At 36.8% G+C, this 18,139-nt stretch overlaps 1 long non-coding RNA gene across 1 annotated transcript in view, besides 1 other annotated feature; it reads right to left on the reverse strand.

Moving 5' to 3' along the window:
* The window catches only part of MIR924HG (MIR924 host gene), a 545,072-nt gene that overhangs the window by 372,331 nt on the left and 154,602 nt on the right, over positions 1-18,139 (reverse strand). The gene's annotated exons all lie outside the window — the stretch shown is intronic.
* Positions 12,006-12,908: an enhancer, noted in NCBI's record as "OCT4-NANOG hESC enhancer chr18:37171224-37172126 (GRCh37/hg19 assembly coordinates)". NCBI's record gives its function as "activates a minimal SCP1, AML or CMV promoter by ChIP-STARR-seq in primed H9 embryonic stem cells {active_cell/tissue: H9 hESC(primed)}" and the evidence as "EXISTENCE:reporter gene assay evidence [ECO:0000049][PMID:30033119]".

An 18,139-nucleotide genomic window follows, 5' to 3' on the forward strand; every position in this document is an offset into this window, starting at 1 on the left:
TTTCAATTAGTATTCGCGAAGTGAGGCCAGATCATAACACCATAAGAAGGCATTCTAAAAAGACAACTTTTAACTGAGTTATTAAAAATGATACAGCATGAAAAGAATAGCTCGAAAGGCAAAAACTGAGAAAAAGGTAGATTTCCCTCAGCCTCAACTTATGAAATATTTACCAACAATTCTTTCTTATTATGTACCCTGAAAATTGCTATCTTTACAAGGAGAATTAGTTTATTTACTTCAGTTCATTAATAGTATCTCACATTTCTTAAGCATGTTAGCATTTATGTGTGTGTGTGTGTGTGTATTACCCTGATAATCTTCAGGATAAAAAAAGCAGGTAGACATATATTCATTCTTCTTCACAGATGAGGAAACGGGCTTGCAGAGATTACAGAACTACTTGGTAACAAAACCAGAAACCAGTCAATAAGCATAAAATATGTAACATCATTTTAATATTCACCCAAATGTTGATTTAAAAGATTCAAGCTGGGCATGGTGTCTCCTACCTGTAATGCCAGCATTTTGGGAGGCTGAGGTAGGAGGATCACTTGAGCCCAAGAGTTTCAGAACAGCCTGGGCAACATATTGAGACACCCATCTCCACAAAAAATTTTAAAAATTAGCTGGGCATGGTGGTGCACACCTGCAGTCCCAGCTACTACTCAGGAAGCTGAGGTGGAGAGATCACTTGAGCCCAGGAGGTCTAGGCTGCCGTGAGCCATGTTCATGATACTGCACTCCAGCCTGAGTGGCAGAAAAAGACCCTGTCTCAAAAAACCAAACCAAACCAAACCAAACCAAACCAAACCAAACCAAACCACATTTCTATGATCCAGACACTGTGCTAGGCCCAGAGATTAAACAATATAATGACTAAATTATCATCTCTTCCCTCAAGACACGTTTCTAGTCCTTTGCTAAATACTGTGTAATAGCTAAAAGTGATCATGTTTTAACCTAAACAATGACCAAATTCTCCTTACTAATTTGGAGACTTTTACTAATTCAGGACTCTTACTAATTCAGTATTTATGTGTGATTGGTGTATCCAATAATCCACATGTTTCTGGAGATGTTTTTCTTAGTTGGTAGAACAGGTGGATATAGAACTGGTCTCCAGGTTGAGGTAACACAATTGATCTCACTCTTTTTATCAACCACAAATTGAGAAATTATAAGTCCCAGAAAAAATCAATCACAACTACTTGCAGATTTAATTCTGCAACATATAGATATTGATTTCTTTTTCCACCCCTTTCCATTCTTCTATCTTTCCTTTCTTCCATATTTCCTTATGAAAACATGTATAGAGCAGTGCCTATTCTGTTGTAGGTTGAAAAGCAAACCTAATTTGAAAATCAAAATTTCCATTGATGAGAAATTTCCAGTTTAAAGGGAAAACATGCAATCAAATCAACAGCCATAAAATGTAATTGTTCTGAGGTGTTCAAGTGTAGGATTCCATGGTAGCATAAAGAGAGAAGGGAGTTCTTGCAAATAGAGCAAAAAAGACAAAGAGGTCTCTAGTGGTTAGGAATGACTGATGCCTGTTAACGAAGGGTAGAAAGATCCAGAGTGAAAGGTTGATATGAGCAAAATGCTGAACAGCTTTATGTGCTGTGCTGGGAAAAACTACCACCAACAGCAATCTTGATTCACAAGAAGAAATGATAGAACTTTACGTTCACTTAGTCAATCTCTCTCTGTCTCTTCATCTCTCATTTTGAAGGATACCTTTATTCTACCTATGGGAGGGTTTCTGACTAAAATTTAAAATTTCAGGGGCCTGTGTCATACTAATATTACATTAACATATAATAAAGACTTAGTAATGAAGACGTTGAATCATGAGGTACTCAGAGAAACACATGATGAAGTAGGGCTGCACCTTTGAAGGATGGCTTGGATTTATTTTATATATACACAAGAGTCATATGCAAAATTGAAACATCTACTGTGGCATGGGTACTTTTATCAGAACAGATGTGTGTCCAATCAAAACAGTTGCTGAAAGTAAGTACATGCTGAAAATCAATGCTGGCTGTGCAGGAAGGAAAAATGCCTCTGAGGACTTGAGATCACTTTTCAAATCCTCCTACCAGAATATTTCTGAGTGTTTTGAGGAAACAAGAGAAAAATAAACATAAAAAAATCAAACCCTTACTACTGGTATTCATGTCCTTATCAATCATCCAACTAATTGATTATACAGCCTTCACTACATGAATTTCCTTCCCAAAGCACCAATTTTCAAATGTGACTCAGTAAACTCCTATGAAAGTCCTAACTCATTAGTCCAGGATGAAAAGTATTCCATGATCATGTCCAGTTAGATTATTTGAACATATTCCTCATATGCTTCCATTAGTTGAGCTATCTGGTCAGACTAAACATGGCCCTACCATCAGTATTCCCTCAAGAAAATTTGGTTTAGCAGAAAGAGCATGAGCTTCGGTTTGGCATAGCTCAGTGTGAATCTTGTTTCTAACTCTGTGACCTTTGGCTACTTCATTAACTTCACTGAATCAGTTTTTTCATTTGGAAAATAAGATGAATAATATCTACCTTGCAGGGCTGTTGTATTAGGGATCATTTTATAAAATGCCAAGTGATGTGCTTTGTACATAATAGCTTCTCAATAAATGGTGGCTGTTATTGTAATTTCTTTCTCTTAGTTTCTATTTGGCAGCTCTTGAGCATTTTTGTCCTCCCCAAGATGCTGTCCCAGTTCCTATACTATCTTCAGTTGATGTCAATTAATTTATTTTAAATTATTAACTGGTAGGGAGTCAAGGGCCCTGGCTCTGACTCTGCCATTGGCACACGTAATAACCTTGAACAACTCACCTGCATTTTCTGGGCTTTAATTTGCATTGCCATAAAGTGAGGCATTTGATTACAATGATTTCTGATGTTGCTTCCTGCCCTATGATTATAGATTCCATGGTATTAATTGGTCGAGAAAGCTTCCCTAGCCCATGATTTGTGAGTTCCTTGGATTCTAGAAAAATTTCTTATACTTCATTTCATCCTAAAAGCCCCCTAAATGTCTAATCTTGATTAATTGATTACTTTTGATGACAATAAGCAATCAATGACTCAGCCCATTGGCTTTTCTTGAGGTCATGTTGATAACAAACGAGTAATGAAAATGGCCACGTATATATGATCTTAAGATTTCTGTTTGATTTTTTTTCTATGCTACTCCAAAAATACTGTCGAATCCTTGGTGAGCATACGCATACACAACCAAGGAAATAAACGAAAGAATATGTGTGCTTTATTGATGAAATTTCCAGGTCTTTTCCTTTGACCTCAATTTGCCATAGATAGAAATGAAAAGCTCCAGACTATTGCCAAATATATGGGTCATAGTGCTTGGTTACACAGTTAGGATTTAATAATGGGACCATTTTGGCAAGAAACCCACATGTGTAGCTATTTAACTGGCAGCAAGTATAGAATATGCATGAAAGAAAAACAATTGTGTCTATCAAATGTGTTCGGGGAAAAAAGGAGAGGTATTTCTAATGTGAAGACGGTTGATGGGCTACAAAAACCAAAATGAAGGCAATTGGTCTTGATAAAGCTGCTCCTTGTATCACTTTTTTTTTCTTTTTGGCCATTTTTAAATGGGACACTCTTAGATACCTTGACTCCAGGCCAATGCCAATTGCCCAGAGCCTATGCAGACTGGATCAGTTTTTTTTCCATGGAACTTAATGATCAATAACCCCTAGTCAACATTATCTTTGTATATATACTCATCAATAACTACATACTTTTCTACCTTCTTTAAATACACTAATTGTTTCTAGCAAACTTTTGCCTTTAAAGAATAGGGACGAGAAGCTCATTTATAGTTAATGTATTACATGCAAGAGATGTTTTGAAAGGTTTACTTCTATTACCATCAACTTCATCATCTTGATAATCCAAATACATAATACTATTAATTCATTCAAAATTTTTATTGATTTTTTTTAATGCCCTGGAAAAATAGCTAAACTCTGGTGGTACAGTAGGGAATGAAACCAGTAAAGTCCCTATTCTTATGGAGATTTTAGTCTAGTAGGTTGAACAGAAAATAAAGAAGCACATGAATGATAACAAAAGAGGTATTTTGAAGGAAATAACTGAGATGTTTAAGAGTAGACTAACAGGATGGGCAATATTTTAGACAGATATCCCAGGGAGGACTCATTGATAAGGCACCATTTAAATTCAGATCTTACATCTGAAAAGTGGCTGTCTTGTAGCATTTTGACAAAGAGCATTATTGAATCCTTTGGGTGGGGCCTTGTGCCAATAGTAAGGAATACCAGAAGGTGTTAGTGCTAGATTCCTGCTCTCAGAAATCACCATATAAGTGGAAAGGTAGCCGGCACAGACCAATAATTATCAGTCCAGTGAATATGGTTTTATGTCTCATCAAAATGTATTATATGTGAGAAGTGAGCAGAGAAACTTGCACGCACTGTAATTGCAAAGCAGTGAATGAGCTGAGAGAAAGTCTCAATCTCAGTCAGTAGAGGAATCAACTTTCAGAGGATGAGTTTTTATTAGAGCTTTGATTATGATCTGAAGTAGGATCTTCACCTATAGCATCTCTCCTCCATTTCAATTTTCGAACCAGGAGAGCAGTGTGGGGTTTTTTTGTTCTTATTTTTAATGTTTTGTCTACAAATTCACAATTTCCAATGGAGTGCTTTATTCACAGTGGGCATCCAGCAAATGTTCTTATTTGCTTAGGTGAAGAGTTTAACACAAAGATGTAGAGTCCATCTACACATGTTAATTGCAATTAATAAAATAAGCTGTGTGAAGGACCAAATATTAAGGAGATGACTTCAACCCAGGCCAGGATTGCAAAGAGGCTGAAACTATTTCATAGAGACTTACCTTGGAATGGCTGCAGAAGCAAATAACCACAGATAGGTCCATGGATCAGTGCAACTCATGCACATTACTTCATTGAAACATTACATATATGAAAAATAACATTCAAGACACTTCATTTAGTGTGGTCGTGGGATGAGAGAGCTCAAGGCTTCTGGCTTTCAGTACTGAAACCAAATATAAGTTGTATGAAAAATGTATCTTCTGCTGTGTGGAAAGAGACATACTAGCTCTGCTAACCCTTTTTTTTTTTAAAGTCAAGATGAAAAACGAGAGGGACATTATTTCCCAGTACTGACCTACAACCCTGCAGAAAGTCTCTTGACTCTTTGAGAAGTATTCTTTGGCCAGGTGTGTGCCTCAAAGTCCCTGAGCTCACAGGTTGTCATGACTTGAAGTGGATACAGAGAACAATTGTTTGACTATAAAACATTTCTGGGTTTGAGGATTCTTTCAAATGCAGTTAGAATGTAGTCACATTGGTACTGGTAGTAATTCTGCACAGTGGCCCACATGATTCAGAACCACACAAGGGTGGTGGATAGGGGGTCAAGCCTCACTTCCCCATGTTGGCACTGAATGGCTACACTGTCCTCTGACACCAATGAATGCCATCAAGCTGCCTGTGAGAGCCTCTTTGTTTCTCATATATCTGTTTCTGTTTGTTTCATTTCATGTCCGATTACGATAAATGGCAGATTCCATTTATTAGATGCAAAACCTATTTCTTTCCATCTTAAGGGGCACTCCTTGATTGCTGTACATGGAATTTGTTGAACAACACTGCAGAGTGCTTTGCAATTTTGTAGACACTTGTATATTGATTTGAGGAATATCAGGATAATATTTCTGGCCAATCATCTCCTCCACCCTATAGCACCAGAGACTGATTGTGTCACCCATTGTTTATTTCTATTAAGGTATCTCCATCTCTACCGATTTTTTATTTAGAGATATACATCTCATTGAGATCTATAATTCTAGGTCACTGATAGCTAGGCATCTCTTTACAGGTTATTCATTAATCAGATCTTCTCATATTGTAAAATCTAGCTGCAAGTCAGAACTGAAGGGATGGAAAATTGGATCTGGGGTGAAAGTGAAGTTGTTTGTTCATCTGCAGCCATAAGAAAGCATGCCTGGCCTGAGTAGGATACTGAAAAAAAGGAAAACAGCTGGGACTTTGGAGTTTAGATGAGGCACAAGGGGATGATAAGAGAACACAAACACTAATGTCAAGTATGTATAAGTTTGACTGTACCATGCCATCAGTCTAGGATCTCACTTCCCCTCCCTCACCTCCCAATAAACCAGAGTAAATTTGAGTCTGTTTTTACTCTTTCTAAAACCTTGGGGTTTCTGGACCTTTCTTCATCTGCCTTCAGTTTGTTTGTGTTCTGTGATGGTCAGGTCAGTAAAAACCTACCCCCAAAGTCCAAGGAAGCTGACAGACTGAAGACAGAGGCTGATATGTCTCAGAAAGAAATATTTAATACAGACTTACTAACAGAAGCCATGTCTGTGTCTCAGGAGATGGTGAGACAAAAGGGTGGAACCATCTACCATTATTCCCCAGATCCAGGACTTATACACCATAGGGGAAGGGTGATTCAGAAGGGATGTGTAGGACAATTGAATTATGATAATATCAAGGTTATTTGGCCTAAGGGTAGGATTTATGGTAAGTACCTGGTTTTACACAAGGAACAACAGATAAACTGGAAATCTTAGAGGACTTTTCGGAACAGGGGTTAATGAGAAGCCAACACGGCAGATTGGCATCCAAGATGGAGTTGCTTTGGCCTCCCCAGCATATATTCCCTTTCCCACTCCTGTGTCTGGGAAGTGCTCAATCAATATAAAAGATATTTCAAGATAAATGTTAGATCATTCAAAACACAAAGACTCGGCTGGGCGTGGTGGCTCACGCCTGTAGTCCCAGCACTTCGGGAGACCAAGGCGGGCAGATCACCTGAGGTCAGCTGTTCGAGACCAGCCTGGCCAACATGGTGAAACCCCGTCTCTGCTGAAAATACAAATATTAGCCAGGCGTGGTAGCGGGCCCCTGTAATCCCAGCTACTCAGGAGGCTAAGGCAGGAGGATCGCTTGAATCTAGGAGGCGGAGGTTGCAGTGAGCTGAGATCGTGCCATTGCACTCTAGCTGGGCCACAAGAACGACACTACGTCTCAAAAAAAAAAAAAAACACAAAGTCTCTGAGAAGATCATACTCTTCTTGATGAAAATCTTGCCTCAGAATAAACCATCTATGCAGGCAAAAATAAAATTTGTCAATTTATGCAATCTCTATTCAAGTGCTCACATAGACCTAACAAGCATTTACACCTGAAATGGGCACTCAAGAAGAATTGTGAATTTTGTTCCCCTTGCATACTCTCCTACCTTAATTTTGAAATGATAGGTTAATCCTGCAATCCCTTGTCATGGAAGGGGCCACATGGAAACTTTTTGTGCATGCTTCTGCATTTTTTCAGAAATGGGAAGTTTTCTTAACCACCTAAGAAAGAAGCATGAGGCAGACACAGCCACATGCCAGCAAGAACCCAGGAACACCATTTCAAGCTGCTGGAATTCACAGACTTCCAATCTGCAAAGGAAAGCAGTTAGTCCATCCAGCTGCGCTTACAACAATGTTAACGAAATTCCCTTTATACGATGGTTTTGCTGAGGTCAGGTGATTACTTCACTAGGCCCCTGCTTGCAAAATTGCAGAGGTCAGGAAAATGTGGGGTGGCTGGAAGCTCATCAGCTGGATAGCTAGAAAAACTAGTTCGGAAAGCTGTCAGTTGAGAGTTGTTTCCAACATATCAGCGGTATGATGTCCAGATAGCAGATTGCATAACAACTAGTGCAGCAAATAGATTGATTTCCCTCCCCTAGAGGAAAATGTTTCACCCAAGGATATGACCCATTTCTTTAGCAGACTTTCTCCATGAGGGTCCTGCTGGACTTAGCACACTTCAGTGCCCAACAGAAAGCAGTATCCAAAAGTTCCAGCAGCCTAATTTTTAACTGGAAATCAAAGACCAGCCCCAAAATATAAGAAAGCATTTCCCAACATATACTCCTTTAACGAAATCAGTTATCTATTACAGCATCCTTCAGAATATATACAAAACCTAATGCCTTAAAATAAAACATCTGTTAAATATCTTTGCAATGTGCGTTTAGCTTGAAAATCTACTTTTTTGCCTCTTCGTTTCCTAATTTCACCTTATTTTGCCTTTTCCAGGTGAAAACTTAATTATATTAAACCTCAAATCATGACATCCTTAATTCTTTTTAAAGTTATTTTCTATTGTTTAGTTCTTTATGTGAGTTATGGTGCAGCAGACTTGACAGAATTCTAATAAATTAATTAATCAAATTAATCAAACTGCCAGATGCTTAAATATAAAATACTATAAATTAGATATTGTTTTTGACAATCACCAAAATTGAGTGTAGTAATCAAATGGCAATTGTACAAGTTATTTTTCTTTCCCACTTTGTTTTACTGTTTTTGATATTTTAGTATGTAACTTTAGATTTAGTTGGGCCAGGAACAAATTATTGGATTCAATAATGGAAATAGTCACTTTCAGCCAAGAAGACTATATGATGGCAAAATGCCAGCTGTAAGTCTCTTGGTTGAGTTGATGAAATCTGAGTCAGTAATGTTCTTCAATGACACACAGAATAATGTGTTTTGGTGCTTTAAGTAATTTCAAGACTTCTAGTTCTGCACACTGCTTTCAGGGAGTTAAAATAATATTTCCATTTTATCGCACCTGAGGTTCAAAAAGGTAAAATAAGCTTCTTAAGATCATAAAGTGATGTTGGAAAGATCCAGAATTCAGGCTTATGCCTCACAACAGTGTCCTTTTGCTATTCAAATGTGACAAATAGGTATTTTATATGTCATTTTCTTTGGCCATGTGCATGGCAGACACTGTTAATCAATGATGATTTGCTTTCCTGCTAAGCATGGAAGCAGCCTCAGAAAATATTGCATCTCATCAAAATAGTCAAGGAATCCACTTGGCAGACGGAATAAAACCTACTTCCTGTCTCTAGGTTGGGCTATGCTCCCTTAAAGAACAGCATCAAGGGGTTCAGATTCAAGCCTTGTGGTAGAAATCAGCTTCTAAGTTAAGAAAGTCAGTTGATTGGCTGACCTATCTCCATTGTTACTCCATATGGATCACCACATGGTACATTTGCTTATGACTATTACTAAGACCCATAAAGGCAACTGTGATGGAGAAGTCAACTATAACCCTTATTATCTAATCATATTTTAAGGATGTGTCTGGAACAAGAGATTTAAATAGACATCTTTCAAGTTAAACTGTCTTTTATATGTATCCATGGTGCAAGTATTATTTTCTTGAGTGGATTAATTACTAAGGCATAATAGTTGCCAAAATATATTTTTTTAAAATTTTGCCTAAAATTAGCAGGTTTAAGCTGGAGATTATGAAAGACAATATTCTTCAAGTGTGTGCTCTATGATTCAAGGGTAAATAGGTCTCACAGGAAAAGTTGAAGAAAGTGGTATTGTTTAGCTTGGCAAAGAGGAGACTAAAGGGTGCTCTGAGAATTGTGTTTGAAATATGATGATCTGTTAAAGAAAGACATCTTTAATAGAGCCTTTAAAGAAGGACAGCTGTTCTTCATCTCCAGTGAGGAAAGAATTGGAAATTGATTTAATAGAAAAATCAGATTTGGGTATAATCAGCCTTTCCTAATTAACCCCACTCCTTTTCTGAATATTACTTTCTCCTTTCTTCATTAGATCCTGGGTATTAGTATACAGCATAACATTCTATATGTATATTCATATTCCTAATATCATCCTTAGATATTTTAGTTTTAGTCTATCAAGAAACATATTGAGTACCTGCCCTTAGTTAAACTTAGTGCATAGGATTTACTTTTGAATCTTTAGTAAGCAACCCAATGGCATGAACAGTTTCCCTAAAAACCAGTTAATGCTTGCCTATGGTTTATTTAGTATCCTGGAATTTTCTGAGTATAAAAAACAAACCTAAATTTACTCTAATTCTCCATGGTGAGCTAAGAATCACTGCAAGTATCTTTTCTTTCTTAACACCACCACTGTAGCCATCACACATATACCCCACAGAGAGCTCTTGCTCATTTTCCAAGTTCTATCACATTACCATATTTATCAGTCACGTATTATATTGTTTTTCAAGGCAAAGTATTTTCACAGAAATAAGAGAAAACCTGGATATCATCTCACATACATCTTTTGTGGAAAATTAGTACATCCAAATAACATTATTGAGTAAATATACAGTAAACCTATTGTATACAATATAATAACAAAATACAAAATACATAAAATCTAAACACAAAAACTCCTGATCCTTCCTCTTCAAAATTACACATGTTAAAGAGGAATGAAGAAATGCTCAGATGTGAATCTCCCAATTTGAGGCAGAGGCTGAGTAGAACTTGAATGTTTTTCAAAAATAGAATTCATCATTGGCAACAGGGAGAGTATCATTGATTGCATCATAGACAAGAGGAGAAAAATGAGGACTTCAAAAGTGGAGGTCTTACATTACCTCTCCCAAAGCCAAGTCAGGATATCAACAGGGAGTTTGGTAATCCCCACTCTTAGAAATTAAATCCTATGCCAGTAGCCTATCTCAACACAACTGGCAGGAAGAAAAGAAGAATGGACATAATTATAAGACCTTTAGAATTTAGAAGAAGTGTGTCCTATGTGATTCTTATTTTTGTTTTCCTAAGTCTCTCTTCCTAAAAACCAATACAATTCCTAATATGAAAATGATGTATGAGCTTGAATTTACGTGCCACAAGAAAGCAAGACCTAAGAAAAATGTGCCCTCAGCTAACATCACACTTAGTGAGAAAGAAAACTAGAGAGGAAAAAGAAGGGAAGAGTATAGAAGGCTAGAAGGAAGGAAAGCTGTCTGATCAGCCAGCCATGGTGGCTCACACCCGGAATCCCAGCACTTTGGGAGGCTGAAGCAGGCAGATCACTTGAGGCCAGGAGTTCAAGACCAGCCTGGCCAACATGGCAAACTCCTGTCTCTACTAAAAATACAAACATAAACTGGGCATGGTGGCGTGCACCTATAATCCCAGCTAGTCAGGAGGCTGAGGTGGGAGAATTGCTTGAAACCAGGAGATGGAGGTTGCAGTGAGCGAGATCGTGCCGCTGCACTCCAGCCTGGGGAACAGAGCGAGACTTAGTCTCAAAAAAAAAAAAAAAAGAAAAAGAAAAAGAAATTGTCTGAGTGCCTTGACATTTCATGAATCCAGGGAGTCCAAGTCTGAGAAGCATGGTTCTGTGTGAGGAGTGGAAAGCCCCATATGGAACTGGCAGAGATTTATAGGAAAATATAGGAGGCTGTATCACTGGAGGTGAGTTATAATTTATGTGTAACCAAAATACTATGCAAAAATAAGGACTGGGAGAATCTTGGAAGACTGCTTATAAGAAATGATTTTTGGCCAAAGGTAGAGAAAGAAGTTGGGCAAATGGATAAGGGAAGTAAAACATTCTAGAAAAATTATAGAGAATGTTTTAGCCATTCCAGAAGTATCAGTTTATGCTTCATATAGTAGGAGATCAGGCTCAAATGTTAGCTTTTTGAAATTCCAGGTTTATAATTGCCCACTATCCCTGACTAAGTATCTGTAAATAGGTAACAAAAAAAGAACTAATGCAAATAATAGTGGATCATTTACATAGGAGACAAACAAATTGAAGAGTAACACCTATTTGTGCTATTGCTTGAAACTAGTCTAATGCTGATACCAGGAAGCATGGTAAATTTATGACTTTTTAAAGATGTCAGAGTTGGAAATTCATCAGTCCTATCATTGTGCCTACCCCATAGTTGGCCTGTGATGGTATAAGCAGAAATGCTTCATAAGAATAGGCCCACAATAAAACAACCAGTGGGAAGAGGTGGCAGATGCTGTCAAATAATTTAATCACCTTAAGAACAAATCAATTATTTTCTTTTATTTTTCGGCTTTTCTCTTTATCATCTCAAAGCATTATAAGCTGATAGTTGGCTAACCCATTAAATATAAGTAATCGAGCACTGGGAACTTTCTAATTTGATTCTTAGCCAGAAACTTCACACACACACACACTCACATACACACACACACACACAAGCATATGTATGCATTACAAGGTGACAATGAAGAACTGAAATAACTTTTAATTTATTTCTGAAATTAGAACCATCTTCTCTCAAAACATTGTGGCAATTGTGGCCAACATATTCATTACTCTCCAGACATAAGTAGAGATTTTAGAAATTCTAAATCTTGTCCTAAGTATCGACTTTGGTCAAAGCATTTGGTTTAGACTCAATCTACATTTCCCCTGAGTTAATGTGGATTAATCACATGAAATTTATTTTATCTATATAGGTTAACATTTGGCAGATTAACCTTTCTTCCTGTACTCAAACTCAAGGTCTTTTTTAAGTTGCTTTGTGTTTTGTTTTTTTTTTTAATTATGACTGATTTTAGGATACAAGTCAATAACTGAGCTCAAATGCATTCTGGGATCCCCTTCCAGCTCCCCCAGGGTCCTTAAGCAGGATCTTGTTAGCACCTGAAAAGTTTGGCACACACTAAAGCAATTAGCTTTCTTTCACACCTAAATTTACCTCCACCCCATGCAAACTTGCAGCTGTTCTCTTGCATTTGTTATTCAAATGATCTCTTTGGCAAACACTGAATCATGAGGCTGAGGCTACATAACCTTATTGGCCTCCTAGGGACCTGGTCCTATTTCTTTACAATATTTTCTTCACTACCTTTACTTGGGGATCTTTTTCCACATTTAGCATTGGGAACTTTGAATGCCTGCTATACTGCCTTTCAAGATATCATTGTGAAAAAAAAATGTACCTTTTTGAACTGTTTACATGTAAGAGTTAGAATTTCCACCGGTTTTGAACTGGATTTTCACTGGTTTTTAACCAGTGATTAGCAAGTAGTTATTTTATCAAAGTACTTATTTATTTTATGGTAGATGTATTAAGTATTTACTGTGTACAAAATACAATATTATTTGACTATGAGTATTAAAAAGTAATTGAAACCTAATTTCCACCTGTATGGGGTCAAAAAAGAAAAGCGTTCTCTTAGCCCTCTGAAGGTTAGCTGGAAATGGACTGATAAGAGTCAGATTAACAGGAGAAATATAATACAAATTGTATTTTAATGTGCAAGGTTGGGGGAATCACAGGAGAGTGATTATCCAAATAACCCAGTGAGGTCAGATGGTCATATACCCCTCTTCATAGTGGCAGAGGAGATGGGGAATGTAGGCAATTATTTTGAGGGGTAGTAAAATGTTTATTAGGAAGAATAAGTGAACCTGGGGAACAGAAATTTGCTTACAAATGATTCCCTTTGGAATTTGATATTATCTTTTGAAAAAGTTTATCCAGGCGTAGTTGCATTCTTCAGTCTTCTACCAGTGATAAAGAATCCAATTCCAAAGAGGGTATAAGGAGGCAATCATGTTCTCTTTGGTGGGACCATCTTGAGGTAGATAAGGGAATAGCAGAGTAAAACTTTTAGCATCTGCTGACCTTCAAGGGCCTTTAATTTAAAATAATCACATTCTGGGGTGCCATATGTTGGGGTGAAATTTTCTGGGCTCCTTCAGATGCATAGTTACACACAAAGCACACCTATGCACAATATAAAGAGAACAATACTTTTATTATGATATTTGAGAAATACTGTAGAGTCCTCAAATAGATCCTAGAAATTCAAGATTAAAAATATTTGTGAGAATTGGGTAATCAAGGTTGGTCAACAAAGAGACATGGAAGAGGAAAGGCGTGTGTCGAACCTTGAAATGTGAAAGTGTTTGAGCATTCATTTGAAGTTCAAATTTAGCATTCCTTTGACAGTTGTCTGTATACCATGAGTTAAAAATAGAAAAGTGGAATGACTATTCCAAGTGGGAGGCTGGTTTGAGTAGATTCATTTAGGAGGAAATCTACACAAATATGGGAAGAGTACTGGTTTTGATAATGAACATCACCTAACACTTTATAAGAAGAAGAATTTTCTACTGGTGAATGTAAAAGGTGAGAAACTATAGGAGGCAGGGCATTTTAAGGCGGAATAACACACATAGAAAACCTTGGTTATCCAAGATAGGTATGAGGGACCCTCAATATCTGAAATACCAATCACAGTGTCCGAGCCCTCCAGGGAATCTGAGCAAGTAATAAGCTGCAAAATTCATGACTAATGTTGCTCTCCCTGAGAAATCAAACGTAAGCACTGTCAAAAGTGTTTAATTCTATTCCTGAAGACCTTGAGGACCATTGGCCTAGTGTAGTGTGTCAAAGCTTATGAAAGACTCTTTCCCTTTTATTTTCTGTATAAAGCGAGCAGAGTTAACTATGGCTGATTAGCAAGGATTGTAGGTACCAGTCTTGCAGGTAGCCAGAGTTATAAGATGGGAAATGATTTTGGAGTCTGTAGATATTCAATCTAAATGACTGTGTTCAATGCGGGTGGCTGGTAACACAAACTCTACAAGAAGTTTAAGATAAACTAAAATGTAAGAAGAATCCAGAAGTTGTGAACATTGTGGTCAAACCTCTGCAAAGGTGACTTACTTATTTTTAGCAAGTTATTTTAAAGAAATATATAATAATTTAAATGTGATAATGTCCATAACATAAAATAAGGAATTTCTATTTTTTTTGACAGTTGCTCTATGTGAACATTCCATATTTATGTAAAGTCAAAGTAACTACTTGGCTATAGTGTTTTATAGGCCATTGTATTTTATATATTATCAGAAGAATTTTTATTATAAATCTTTCTCTCTGTCCTTTCTTCCTTGTTTCTTCCCTTCCTGTCTACTTCTTTTCTTTTCTTTTTCTTTACTTCCTTCCTAATTTGCTTTCTTTCTTCCTTCCTCTCTTCCTTTTTTCTTTCTCATTTTTTCCAATGCTGAAATGTCCATATAAAATATTTGATATACATATAGACATATATCAAATGCTTGACATAGTTCATGTTTTCACTCTTATTTTAAAAACAACCATCTGAAAAGTAGGCCAATATTCATGGTAGGAATTTAAAAGTTTCTTTTAGAATTATAATAAAACCATAGTTCCTTTATAATCCAGAACATTTTGTCCTCATTTCTGTGGCAACCTCAGGCATTCTTCCTACATTTCCAGCTGTCCAGAGTTTCTTCCTGAGATTTTCTTGTGGTGTTTCTTCTTATAATAACATAACAAAACAAATACAAAAATGGACAAACAAAACCACCTTATCATCAGTCTTGAAGCTCTGAGTTTTGGTCTCTTTATTGAGCTTACTGGAAAGATGTCTTTATTACAGTCAACAGCCTCAATTATCTCATCTGGAAAGACAGCAATTAGTTTTCTATGCTATGCAAAGAACTACCACAAACTTAGCTGCTTAATATAATGCACACTTATTATTTCACAGTCTCTGTGGATCAGAAGTCTGGGTCTTCTGCTTAGGTTTCACAAAGTTGCAATAAAGGTATGTTTCAGCTAGGCTGCATTCTCATCTGGATGCTCAACTGGGGAAAATATACTCCCAAGCTCATTTAATTGTTGGCAATTCCCTGTGACTGTATGACTGAGAGCCTCAGGTTCTTGCTGCTTGTTACTTGGAGGTCATTCTTTACTCCTTAGCTCCCTGCTATGTGGTCTTCTCCATAGGCAGTTCATAACATAGAAGCAAGCTGCTATGTTATGAACTGCCTATGGACTTGCAAGTCCACTAGCAAGACTTAATATATAACATAACATAATCATGGTGTGACATCCCATAACCCTTGCCATATTCTACTGGTTAGAAGAAAGTCATAGATTGCATCCACACTCAAAAGGAGAAGATTATACTAGAGCATGAACATCAGGAGTTGGGGGGGATGGGTGTCATAGAGCTACTTTAGAGTTGTCTGCCGAAGATAGGGTATGGTTTAACATTCAAAGAGTCTTCAATCTTGGAAAACAGCAATCAACATGGTTTCATCCATCACAGCCCAGCTGATCATCCCATCTATTTCACAAAGATCCTCAGAGGTAAGAAATATAGTGCTATAAAATAAAGATGATATTGGAGGGCAACCTGTTAGGTGACTGGTGACTGGTGAGTGATGAAGTTGCTGTTCGTTTCACTATTATTTGTGGTATGAAGTCCTGATTTCTAATCTTAGCCATGATTCAGGGCCTATTAATGATGACAGGCCTAATTCCTCTTTAACTTCTTCCTCAACTTTCAAAATATAGATGATGATATACATCAATCTTAGAAGGGCTTAGCATGTAAAGAATTCAACCCAATCTTGTATAGAAACACTTTTGAGTAAGAATTCAGCAGAAAGCATCATAAATTGTTAAAGAGCTGGCATAAAACAGTGCTGGGGAGGAGATAGAGTTTTAATTTAATATAGAGAAGTGAAGGCTAAGGAGTGATTTAATTGCAATCTACAAATATAGGAGAAATCTTTATAAGAAACAAACTATTTTGCATATCCAATGAAACTCAAATTAGATTAAATTAAGGACATAGGGAATATTGTTTGGCTATCATATTTTTTAAAAGGCTTTGAAAAGATTCTACAATCTTCTCTAGGTGAGCTATAAAGTTGAAATTGGCATGTGTTTTAGGATGAATTGGAAATGCCCTTGACATATTTTTTTCTTTTCTTGGATTCTATTTATTTAATATATATAACCTGAAAATGTAGGATTACTTATGAAACAAAAAAATAGCAATTTTTAGTTTTGCTTCCAGAAAAAAATTAGATATTCTCTTCTGAATTTTGATAATATAAGCCAGTTAGTTTGAAGAGTAGACTCACAGTAGTCAGAAAAGGTAGCTGACCAGGGAAGGGTATAAAGGTCTGAAATTTATGTTTACATCACTGGAACACTAATAGCTACGACTATCTTTATATATAAGATAATAAATAATCATTTTATTAAAAGGCTTATGTTGAGCAACAAACTCATGAAAAAAAGGAATGGAGGGAGGAAATTAATAAAGAAGAAACAGAGGAAAAAGAAGAGAGAAAACAACCAATCTGGTTATTTTACCAGACTGATTGGTTGGTAAGAGGTAAGAATACTCAGAAAGTGATGAACATCATGAATTCTTACTGGGAAGGTCACATAGTCCAATCTCAAGAGCAAATGCCTGATCCACTTCAATATCCTTGACTCATCATAGCACAGATTCTTCTGGAATTATTCCTTTGACTTCAGCTCCTTAGTTCATTTGTTTAGATTCTTCTGGAATCATTCCTTTGACTTCAGCTCTTTAGTTCATTTGTTTAGATTCTTCTGGAATCATTCCTTTGACTTCAGCTCTTTAGTTCATTTGTTTCATTGCTGAGTGCTGAGAAAGTTCTTTCTTATCTTGCCCTTCATTCTTTTCCATAGGACTATTGTTTGTTCTCTGTAACAGTGCATAATGACTTTACTTTTTACTTTAACATAGACAACCGTGTACATATGTGAAGATGGCCACTAGGTTTTTACCTTAACATCCTTATTTTTCAGTCACCATCCAGATTTTCATCAGCTATTTAATTATTAAAGAGCCTTAAGTTCTTCCAGAAACTTCTCCTTACCTCTAACAGTAATATACTAGAGAAGAGACAAGATCTTAACAGGCAAATATCCTTAGCTAGATATGGATGGAGTGTTGACTTGCCTACGAATTTAACTTCAAAACCAGTTGCTTAATCAGTTCGTCACAAAGACACAGACTGGCTCATAAAACAACAGATGAGTGAGCACACAATAAAATCTAAGCTGCAAAGGCCATTAAACACTAAAGATATATTGTAGAGTGGAACTTGCTTAGGTAAGAACTTCCTGCCCAGTGCCACGCCACAATGATTAATGTGCACATATGTGAACTTTATGAAAAAGATAACGAATTGATTGTGTTCTTAAATGATGCCATTTTAGACCTGTTTGGCTTCCTCTCCTCCCTCGGGAATCAGCTGACCACACTCTGTTAGTTTAAACAAATGAACGTTTAATGTTGGCCATTCTGCCGACCAAGTTGGGGAAAATGGAATCATTTATCAAAGAAAAACAAAGAAAAATAATGAAGTGGCCTTTTATGCTAGGAAGAAGGTGAAGACCAGTAGTTAGCAAAAAAAGGAGGTTGCCACATTTTCT

The sequence above is a fragment of the Homo sapiens genome, chromosome 18, assembly GCF_000001405.40.
Source record: "Homo sapiens chromosome 18, GRCh38.p14 Primary Assembly".
NCBI lineage: Eukaryota > Metazoa > Chordata > Mammalia > Primates > Hominidae > Homo > Homo sapiens.